This window comes from Homo sapiens, chromosome 5, assembly GCF_000001405.40.
Source record: "Homo sapiens chromosome 5, GRCh38.p14 Primary Assembly".
In the NCBI taxonomy this organism is placed as follows: Eukaryota; Metazoa; Chordata; class Mammalia; order Primates; family Hominidae; genus Homo; species Homo sapiens.
Window position 1 is genome coordinate 8,771,697 of NC_000005.10, and position 12,222 is coordinate 8,783,918.

General features: G+C 40.4%; 1 long non-coding RNA gene across 3 annotated transcripts in view; it reads right to left on the reverse strand.

Annotated features, from left to right (window-relative positions):
* The window catches only part of LOC101929307 (uncharacterized), an 88,088-nt gene that overhangs the window by 15,293 nt on the left and 60,573 nt on the right, over positions 1-12,222 (reverse strand). Inside the window, exon 4 of one of the 3 annotated variants that reach the window (XR_007058685.1) lies at positions 10,839-12,015. The exons of the other annotated variants lie outside the window; for them this stretch is intronic. This is a non-coding gene — a long non-coding RNA (uncharacterized LOC101929307). Of the gene's footprint in view, positions 1-10,838; positions 12,016-12,222 lie in introns of those variants that run through there. 3 annotated transcript variants of the gene reach the window in all.

The window sequence follows — 12,222 nt, forward strand, 5'->3', positions numbered from 1 at the left end:
AATTTTGAAGTTTCAATACTGCATATCATTTTTATATTTTTATAGAGGAATAAAATCAATCTATTCTATGATGGTCATTTAACTAATCAATGGGCAGGACTCAGATTTGAACCTAGATCTGTGTGTCTCAGGGATTCATCTTCTCAACAATGTGCTGCTTGTCACACAAGTCTCAGCTACCCTGAGCTCTGTTTAAATTGATCCTGATGCACATTTCAATGCCATATAAATTCCATAACATTCTTAGAAAGCAATAAGAACTCACTCCTCTGCTAAACACAGTATTTACAAATAGGGTTTGGGAATGCTACTTTCTATCACTCAAATCAAATTTTACATCCACCATTGTGCTGTCCATTTGAAGTAAAGAAAGCAAAGCACTACTATAGACTGTGAACATCTCACAGATGTGTTCCTGAGAGCCTGTCTCTCTGTGATTGTCCTAGAGGGAGATGGACCGTGAGGACTTTGGCAGGTTCTGCGGCTGGGGATCAGTAGGATTTTGAGGAGGAGGAAGGCAATGAAAAGTTTAAGTTCTTATCCCCCTAAGTTTAAATGGCATCATCCAGACAGTGGCCGTTCCTTATTTCTCCTGGGGGACAACAGGTAGATTGGAAGCAGCAGGGGGTGACACATTAGCATGTCACGGAGTTGAGCTAGAGTTTTGCTTCTGCACATTATACTGAACTGAAAGTCATTCTCCTTCTAGGCATATTATATTATTTTGGACAGATTTGAGTAAATTGCTACTAGAAGAGGTTGTTGTAAATTAGGTTGTGAGTTTCAAGACTTTTTCTGGTCTATAAACAAAGTTCTGTTAGTAACTCAATGTGGGCTCTGTGGCTGTGAACCCCCAGATGACAATACTGTACAACAATGGAAAATGAAATTATTGATCTTGAGAACTGAATCTCTGTTATTATTAAATCTGTTCCATGCTATTGTTTTATGGAGGTAACAAAAGCTCTTTTTCTGTATTACCTATAAATCTTTTCCCCACAACCATATTATATTTTCCTATAAAATAACTACTATTGTTGCTAGTGATTGGGAAATATTAAATATAAGTAGAGCTTCCCTATTACCCATTACTACCATTTTTTCTTATAATAATCTGGTTTGTGAAGCAGTAGAAAGAAAATATGTTCACTTAAGAAAAATATAATAATGTCACTTAAATCCGTTCAGTTTGTTAATGTGAATGTAAGATGGGAGGAAAGGAAAGCCTGTGACAGTGGCTTTAAGGTAAATTTCTTCTTCCTCAAAGTGAGGTTCTCATATGTTGCGGACATTGCTCGCAAACCTTCTGGATAACAGACATCACTCCAGAGAATGTGTTGCATTTGCTTGTGTGTGAGAGGTTCTCCTTTTGTTTAATTTGGAAATGCAGCGTGCTGCAGTGACTCCACACGGAACATTAAAATCAGGGGGCTGTGAAGCGTGAGTTCCTCTCTCCAATTTATCATTGGTTTCCACTTCAATCACTCTATGACACAGAGCATTTGTTCAAGAGCTGATGGGCCCCAAGTTGTCCTTCCCATCTTCCCCAGTGTCCCCTGGAGAGACCCAGTCTGCCCACAGACCTCCCCAAAGGATGCCCTGTGCTTTTCCATTTCAGCAGATGATGCCTGAGCTACCATTAGCTTGAAAACTTAGAAAGAGAGAGAAAAAAGACAAAGGAATATTGCCACAAACCACAACTGCCTGGTGAGTCTCCTAGGACTCATAATTTCACAACTTCTGTTGAGAGAACTAATAGGGCGTTAATTAGTCATTGTTGTGACTGCTACTGAAGTGAATGATTTTTTTTTATGGAACTGATATGTGATCTAGGCTAATTTGCAGAAGTTGAGTAAACAGATTTTTCATGCCAGCATGAAAAATAAATCACACGTGATGAAAACCTATTTGATGACATGATTGTATATCTAGAAAACCCCATCGTCTCAGCCCAAAATCTCCGTAAGCTGATAAACAACTTCAGCAAAGTCTCAGGATACAAAATCAATGTGCAAAAATCACAAGCATTCTTATACACCAATAACAGACAAACAGAGAGCCAAGTCATGAGTGAACTCCCATTCACAATTGCTTCAAAGAGAATAAAATACCTAGGAATCCAACTTACAAGGGATGGCTAGCCATATGTAGAAAGCTGAAACTGGATCCCTTTCTTACACCTTATACAAAAATTAATTCAAGATGGATTAAAGACTTACATGTTAGACCTAAAACCATAAAAACCCTAGAAGAAAACCTAGGCAATACCATTCAGGACATAGGCATGGGCAAGGACTTCATGTCTAAAACACCAAAAGCAATGGCAACAAAAGCCAAAATTGACAAATGGGATCTAATTAAACTAAAGAGCTTCTGCACAGCAAAAGAAACTACCATCAGAGTGAACAGGCAACCTACAGAATGGGAGAAAATTTTTGCAAACTACTCATCTGACAAAGGGCTAATATCCAGAATCTACAATGAACTCAAACAAATTTACAAGAAAAAAACAAATAACCCCATCAAAAAGTGGGCGAAGGATATGAACAGACACTTCTCAAAAGAAGACATTTATGCAGCCAAAAAAACACATGAAAAAATCCTCATCATCACTGGCCATCAGTGAAAGGCAAATCAAAACCACAATGAGATACCATCTCACACCAGTTAGAATGGTGATCATTAAAAAGTCAGGAAACAACAGGTGCTGGAGAGGATGTGGAGAAATAGGAACACTTTTATACTGTTGGTGGGACTGTAAACTAGTTCAACCATTGTGGAAGTCAGTGTGGCGATTCCTCAGGGATCTAGAACTAGAAATACCATTTGACCCAGGCATCCCATTACTGGGTATATACCCAAAGGATTATAAATCATGCTGCTATAAAGACACATGCACACGTATGTTTATTGCGGCACTATTCACAATAGCAAAGACTTGGAACCAACCCAAATGTCCAACAATGATAGACTGGATTAAGAAAATGTGGCACATATACACCATGGAATACTATGCAGCCATAAAAAATGATGAGTTCACGTCCTTTGTAGGGACATGGATGAAGCTGGAAACCATCATTCTCAGCAAACTATTGCAAGGAAAAAAAAAACAAACACCGCATGTTCTCACTCATAGGTGGGAATTGAACAATGAGAACACATGGACACAGGTAGGGGAACATCACACACCGGGGACTGTTGTGGGGTGGGAGGAGGGGGGAGGGATAGCATTAGGAGATATACCTAATGCTAAATGATGAGTTAATGGGTGCAGCACACCAACATGGCACATGGATACATATGTAACAAACCTGCACATTGTGCACATGTACTCTAAAACTTAAAAAGTATAATAATAATAATAATAATAAATTCAAATAATCAAAATAATCAGTCTGCAAACTGCCATTCCTGCCACTCCTGAAAGAATACCTTAAAGGATTCTGCTAAAATTCTACTTTATTCTTGTTTTTAAAAGCAACTATAGGAACTCAGCCTGGATGCGGACAGCACCTAGGACAAACTGTGCCTAATGGCACTCGGCTGACAGGGCCAGCAGGCTGGGCATCTGCATGGAAGAAATGAGGACCCACGAACCTGCTGCACTCCCCAGTTCTGGGGCTTCTCCAGAAGGAACAGGCCAGGCACAGGCTGAATCCTTTCAGAGGGGTAATACCCTCACACTTCCACCTGCAGAGAATCACACAGGCTGCAAAGGCGCTAGTCACCCAGGATAGAGCTCCTCAAACAGAAGGTAACAGAGGCATCCATGCATTCGTTGCAGATGAATCTGTACAATTACCTTTTTTTTTTTTTTTTTTTTTTTTTTTTTTAACAGAGTCTTGCTTTGTCACCCAGGCTGGAGTGCAGCAGAGTGATGATCTCAGCTCACTGCAATCTCTGCCTCCCGGTTCAAGAGATTCTTCTGCCTCAGCTTCCCGGTAGCTGGGACTACAGGCACGCACCATACCTGGCTAATTTTTGTATTTTTAGTAGAGACGGGGTTTTACCCTGTTGGTCAGGCTCATCTCAAACTCCTGACCTTAAGTGATCCACCCCACCTTGGCCTCCCAAAGTGCTGGGATTACAGGCATGAGCCACCCCTACGAGTCCACAATGACTATTTAAAAAGGCAATTGCATAACAGTCAGACATGGCTCCCAGGCTCATATGACAAAAGATAAGGCTCCACCGTGGATTCTCCTATAGATCACAGAAGGGCTAAGATGCAACATCGGAACTGACAGTGCCATGGTGTTTGCACCCACCTCCTGATGAAAGTCAGGGGCCTGCCTTCCACAGAGAGGAACGCTGGAATTTTGTGCTGCAGTTATGATAGCTGTACCTGAGAGGTGAGGAGAAGTGGCAAGCCTCAGGCAAGTCATGACCTGGAGTAACCAGAAGATGGGTTCGCCCCACAAGTTTCCCTGTGCTCAGAAGTGAAAGACACTCTGAATGTGATTCCTCATTTGATCGTCAGTGCAGTCCTAAAAAATGAGCCCATGACCATGGAGGAAACAGAGATTTTGAGAGACTAAAGGAGTTACATCACATCACTCAGCTAAGAGCCAAAAGAAGGAAGGATTCAAATCAGGATGTGTCTCACACAGAGTTTAAATTCTTTTTTTTCCTTTGTTTTATTTTTTTTGAGATACAGTCTCACTCATTCACCCAGGCTGGAGTGCAGTGGCACTATCTCTGCTCACTGCAACCTATGCCTCCTGGGTTCAAGCAATTCTCCTACCTCAGCCTCCTGAGTAGCTGGGATTACAGGCATGCCAGCATGCCCGGCTAATTTTTGTATTTTTAGTAGAGACAGGGTTTCACCATGTTGGTCAGGCTGGTCTCAAACTCCTGACCTCGTGATCTGCCTGCCTCAGCCTCCCAAAGTGCTGGGATTACAGGCGTGAGCCACTGCACCCGGCCCAGAGTTTAATTTCTGCCACCACCTTGTATCTTCCCCTGGAAAAACTTGGTAAAGGTCATGTCTCCCTGGGGTCTTTACCCAGTGGTCCAGAAGTGGATTTTCTCTGCCTGTAGAACCTCAATCATTTCACTCATGTTCAACACACAAGACAGTGAAATTACCAGGAAAAAAGAAAGAACATCAATGTCCACAGAGGGACAAAACCTACTACATTAAAGCACTCAGTTAATCAGTCCCAGGCTAAAGAACCGCAGAAAGCCATGTCTTGCCAGTTAGGGGCCAGGCCTTTAATTCGGGGGCTATGAGCTACTTGACTACTCGTCCTGGGTTATTAATCAAGAAGAAAACACAAGGTATCTCACCATACCTGTGTGTTAGAGCTATCATAGATTATTGTGATTAAATCCCTTATAATCACTTAAGACCTAACATCCATGTATTAGAATACTATATAGAGGATTCTTCAAGGAAAAGTGATAGAGGAAAGTACTCAAGGCCAGCTCCATGACAAAGCAGCAAGGAATAGCAGGACCAAGAGTTACACTCACTTCTCCAACCAAAACATGCAGTGGCAAGGGAAATGCTTCAGCTGGGGCACTCCGGCAAGACCCATCTGAGAGTGGGACATTTGAGTTGCAATATGATTGATGAGGGAAGGCAGAACTGTGCATATATGGAGGAAGAGAAGTTCATTGGAAGGAATGGCAAGAACAAGAACATTTAGGCAGGATGGAGCTGGGCATGATTTAAGACAGAAAGGAAACCCACAGCTGGCAGGTCACAACAGGTAGTGGGATGCTTTCAAACAATCAGGTAGACAGGTGAGGTTGCATGGCTCCTTTAAGACTATGCAAATGCAAAGAGTGCTGGCTTCTGTAGAAGCTGTAATGTGAAATTAATTGAACTGACAGTGACTTGTCAGTTTTGATTTACATTTTAGGAAGGTAATGTTGCTTCTCAGATTGACAATGTTGGGTGGAAGCAGGAATGGAGGGCAAGGTATCCTAGGAAGCTGTAGAAATGGTCCAGATGCCGCAGGAGACTCGTTTGGACCATGTAATTAGCATCTGACATGAGAGAAGCAGATAGATGATTGACATATTTGGAATGCAAAGCTGACTAGATGTGTTGCTGGAGTAGGTATGAGGTGTGCAGGGGAGAGAGCAATCAGGCTCATCAGGGTGTCCAGCCAGAGCAACTACAGTTTTTGTTTTCCTGGAGAACAAGTTGGGAGAGGCTTTGGCGGAAACAGATCTGTGGGTGTGCAGGGTCAGACATGGGATAGGAAAAGAAACCTATGGTACTTCACTTAAGCAAGAATGAGATCTAGCCTTGATCTCATTTTTCCTCACCCCCTGCCTCCCCATTTCATTCATGAGGGGGTATAGTTGACACTACTTCCAACACATATCCTCGATCCTTCCATATTCCCCCGTACCTATAGCCACCTCTCTTGTAACCATCATCCTGACTTGCCTCCTCCTTCCCTCCTTTATTCCATATTCCATTTTTTATGCAACAATCTTTTAAAAATGCAAATCTGACCCTATCACTTTTCTGCTTAAAATCTTCCAAGGGTTACCTCTCAGATTTAGGTAAATGTAAAAGCCTGGCTCATCAAAGGTCTGTGTGTCCAGGCCTGTCACCTCTCTATCCCCTGGCCACACCAATCCCTCTGCCCCACAGCAATCTGGCAAGAGAGCTTTCTTCCTATTCCTATTTCCAAACTCCAGCCCATTCTTAGGACATTGGGAATAACTTACCTCTGCTTAACTTCTACATAGTGAGCCCCTTCCTGTCACTCAAATCTCAATTCAAACGTCACCCCTTCAGAGAAATTTCTCTGCCCATGTAATCTACAGTGGCCACCCAGCCCCACCTCATCACATAACTTTATTGAAATTATCATTATTGCTCTCATTACTGGGATTATACCTGTTAATGTGTTAGTTTGTTATCTTACACGTTTTCTTTCCCCCCAAATTAGATCAAGGTACATGAAAAAGGACCCGGACAATGGCCCCTGGACAGTGCCTGGCACCTAGAAACACAAGCATTATCTGAAGGAATTAATTGTTATTTCCTTAACACCTCGTAACTGTACTTGGCATAAAGCGGAAGCTCAGTGAAGGTTTCGGAAGTGTGGATTTTGAAAATAATAAATGTATACAGGAAGAAAGAACCCAAATGACACTCAAAAGTCATTCAAGCATCTCATATCTCTTCGTTTTACCACTTGAGTGGACACTAACTAGTAATTTTCCTAATCTTTAAATCAAAATACTGCTGTGACAACTGTCTGCTAAGTACTCTGATATACCTAATATTTTTTGTTTGTTTTGGACTAAGAAGCATTATCTCAGTATTTTCAAACCCAACTTCTCATGCACTGCTAAATACAGTCACTAAGTGTTCTATACCCCTGGAATCAAGATCATCTGTCCTTGCTGTCTTAAGTTTTGCCTCTGGTGGAGGTGAGTGCACCTGCCACCATCATCAAAAGCTTAGACTGCCCCTTTTCTACTGGCTGTAAGAGAGGAGGGAGCATTTTCTTCTCTCTGGGGGCACATTTCACTCTCAAACGTGGGTTCTAGTTTGAAAGACAGCAACATATTTGCAGATGGGCTGCAATATTATTTGTTTCAGAATAAATAAGGAAATCAAGTAGCTAACATTCCTTTACTTCCCCAAAGAAAGAAAAATGTTAATTCAGTCTGAATAATAAACAGAATCAGGTCTTGCTAAATCAGCCATTTATCAAATTGACTCTGTTGCACTTATGCCCAATTGATCCACATACAATTATCGTGACTGGCATACGTTGCTAAAGTTTGGGGGCTGATGGAGGAGAGAGGGAACAGATAGTACTGCACACATCATTACCCAGCTGGGGCCTATGAGCCAAGGGTGCAATGAGGTGGCCAGCAGCCTCAGGATAAACATGGCTTATTGTACTGGAGCACTGACATTTTCAAAACTTTGGAGAGAACGAATTCTAGACAATTAAATGTAAACTTATCAAGAACTATCCTTTTTATATAAAACAATGTCAAGGATTTTAAGAACTAGAATGAACTTTTACATGAATTTATGAGCTAAAAGATAAAATTGTAAAGGGAAATCCCTTAGGCAAAAAGGCTTCTTAAGTTATATAATCAGTCCCTGCACTGTCCCCACTGCCATTAGGGATTTCAGCAGAAATATTTAAGAAGTTCAACCACAAACAAGGCTGCCTTACTATTTCCAGCACACCAAGCCCTAACACACACATCCACCTCCCAGCTGTACTTTCTTTCCTTTCTTACAAAACCCCAACTGGTTCATTCATGACCCACTCAGGGATACTCCCTTAAGGAAATTTTCCCAGAATTAACCCAAATAAGGTTAACCCAAGTAACCCACTCCCCAATACAATGCATGAGCATCTGAGACTCACTCATTCCACCAGCTTTCAATTTCTGCTTCCCTACCAGGGTGCAAGATTCTCCACTCTGGAGCTGACTTTCATCTCTGCACTCATAATTCCTGCTACCTTCTGGGCTCAATAACTATCTGAAGAATCCATGAACTTACTTTTAATCTTGGATGGTTGTGCTGAAATTGATGAGAGAATAGTGGCCAAGAAAGTCACATGGGCAAGAAGAGATGAAAGCAGAGGGTTAGGAGTGAAGGGGGGAGTGACAAGACATGAGGCTGGAGAAATAAGCAAAGGCCAGACCAAAGTAAAGAAGATGAATTTAGAATGAGTGCAATGAGAAGCCTTCAGAATTTGCATAGAGGCACTCATAAATTTGCAAGTTATTGCAATTTCCTAGGGTGGCTGAAGGGTATTTTGCAAAGTACACTTAAATCTTAAATTTGTATCATCTAAAATACCCTAAACTAACAAGCTGCTCATAGCATGCTAATAATTCTTTACATAGGCAAACAAATGGATACAGAATGCTAGAACTGGGAATAGTTTTCTTATTAAAAGTGTTTATTGAGTTAATTACATTTTCATTAAATTTAAATAAAATTTGGCACTATTTAGATAATTTGACATAGAAATTTGTGTTCAATAATTAGGTTTATATTGCTTTCTAATTTTATATATATTTTAATATGTGAGAAAAAATGACAATTTTAACTTATTTATTTATTTTTTTATTTTTATAATTTTTTTTTTGAGACGGAGTCTCACTCTGTCTCTGAGGCTGGAGGAGTAGTGGTGAGATCTTGGCTCACTGCAACCTACCCAACCCGGGTTCAAGCGATTCTCCTGCCTCAGCCTCCTTAGCAGCTGGGAATATAGGGGCACACCACCATGCCCGGCTAATTTTTGTATTTTTAGTAGAGACAGGGTTTCACCATGTTGGCCAGGCTGGTCTCAAACTCCTGACCGCAAGTGATCTGCTCACCTCAGCCTTCCAAAGTGGTGGGATTACAGACATGAGCCACGGTGCCTGGCCAAATTTTTTATTTTTGTTACATTAACTTTAGATGTTTGTGGAAAATATACACCATTTGTGTACTTCAAACAATTACATTTTATTTTCAGTCTTTTAAATTATTAATATGAATTTGTGTCAACTGTGACTTCATATATTGATGTGAACATTTTAACTATAAAACAGAATGAATGATGTTGTCTTAATATTACTATTCATCCAACCATTTCCAATCTATTAATAGAATAATCTCATTATTATTCACCCAACCATTTCCAATCAATTAATAGAATAATCAGGCATGGTCAATAATAATTTAATTGTAATAGTTTTAATATTAAATATCAGTTTAATACTATTTTGGTAGTTTTAATATTTTGCTGAGTTTCTCTTATATAAAAATATAGAGTCTTAATCCATTCTGGCTTCTATAACAAAATATCATAAACTGGGTAACTTATAAACAATGGTATTTCCTAGTGTTCTGAGATTGGGAAGTCCAGGATTAAGAGATGGCCAATTCAGTGTCAGCACAGATGATGCCTTAACTGTGTCCTCACATAGTAGAAGAGAGCGAGGTCTCTGGGGTCTTTTTATAAGGACACTAATCACATCATGACAGCTCTGCTCTCAACTTAATCACCTTCCAAAGGCCTCATCTTTTAATATTAACACTTGGGAGTTGGGATTTTAATATATGAGTTTTGGGAGGATGCAAATATTCACACCACAGCAAGTAAATTTGTATGTGTATTTCAATATTGTCATTTTAACAACATATTTAGAAAGGTAGAATGATAGAGCATATTTTATTGAGTAAATTGTTAGCTTTGTTCATAAGTATTACCTATAACATGGTTTTTGAGGATCCATTTGTACCTTTGTCATGTACCATTGTTTTGCAATGTTAGGGGTAGACCCATTGGTCTTAGCAGTGGAATACAATCAATACCCTTACCAAAACTTCACTCGCTCATTGCCTTTTCACTTTAGTTTTCATCCTATATCTTGACAGTGAATAACACAATCAGACATGTCTACCTGAGCTGCCCAAGATAGGAGGTGGGCTGAGGATGGGGAATTTAGAATCACATAGATTGGAGTGACCACAAATCTGTCCACCTTCATTGACTGGTGCCTCAATGCTTCACCCCAACATACTGTGTTTCCCATGAGGCTGTTTTCCTCACATTCTACAACGATTATTTCAACTGATTGCTCTTCTCCAAAGTGAATGCTCACAAGATGAATGAATTCGTTGGTAGGAGCAAGCATCACCATCGTATCTTCACTATTTACTTGGCTTGGTCAAATTCCAGAATTTCTAAGAGCTTAAATTTCTTCATTCCTAAAACGGAGATTTTACCATATACCCTACAGTGTTGTCCTAAGGATTGGAGATAATGACTAGAAAGTGCCATTCATACATGAATGTTAATTATAATAAGTATCAATAAGTATTTCTTCTTTTTACGTTTTCCTTTTCTGTTGATATTTGTTTATTTACTTTTTCTTCTTTTTTAAATTATACTTTAAGTTCTGGGATACACGTGCAGTATGTGCAGGTTTGTTACATAGGTATACACGTGCCATGGTTGTTTGCTGCACCTATCAACCCATCATCTACATTAGGTATTTCTCCTAATGCTATCCCTCCTCTAGCTCTCCACTCCTCGACAGGCCCCGGTAGGTGATGTTCCCCTCCCTGTCTCCATGTGTTCTCATTGTTCACTCCCACTTAGGAGTGAGAACATGAGGTGTTTGGTTTTCTGTTCCTGTGTTAGTTTGGTGGGAATGACGGTTTCCAGCTTCATCCATGTCCTTGCAAAGGACGTGAACTCATCCTTTTTATGGCTGCATAGTACTTCATAGTGTATATGTGCCATATTTTCATTATCTAGCCTACAATTGATGGGCATTTGGGAATAAGTAGTTCTAAAGTCCTCTCCTCCACCAACTATGGAAGATAACCTTACATCTTCCCAACATAGAAAATAGAAGCCATAAAGCAAGACCTTGCTCAACTTCTGACACAATCAGGTACTAATTACTCATTTTTTCTCTCTTCCCTTCCATCACAGATTGTGCCTGTGCCTATATAACATAACTTCCCTGCCCACATTATTTTCAATGACTACACTTCCTCATCCAATCTCAGCTCTATTGTATCTTTACCTTCCACAGTCCATTGGGTCCTACTTATCAGCGTTTAAACCAATTTATACAACATAAACCCAACCATTTTCCCCAAAGGAAAACCTCTATTAGCCCTTCTGGCTCAAACCATACCATCTCCTATATTATCAAATTCTTTGTGTAGTTTTTATGGTGGTCATTTTTAATAAGATGTGTTCTATAGAAGGGAACAAGAGGAGTTATACCTTTGATTCTCCTACAGTTCCTGATTTCATCAATCCAAGGTCATACTTATTGGCATAGTCTCAGGTCGGTATTTCTTCTCCATGCAGGTAATGCAAATTCAGACTCCACATCTCTGTGCGGCAGGGACTGAATTTATAGGTTTCATTTCATTCAATAAGTATTTGCTGAACTCCTATGATGTGTGTAGTGCTCCAAGTGCTAAGTACCCCAGTTAACCAGAGTAAAAACTTCTATCCTCAGGAAGCTTACATTTTCAGACGGAAGTGAGTCTTCATCCTGAGGCACAGGAAGATAGAAAGCTCTTAGTCCATTTTGGCATGGTGGTGGTTTTCTTGCTGCTTAAACTGGCAGCATTTAAAGGACCTTGGCTCTAAGGCAGTGAGTCAGATCTATATACCCTCTTGGTTAGATAGAAGGCCACAAAACCTGCCCTCCACTGAGATTTAGAATCCTAGCACTCGTGTGCCTGTGTCCTATACGTGG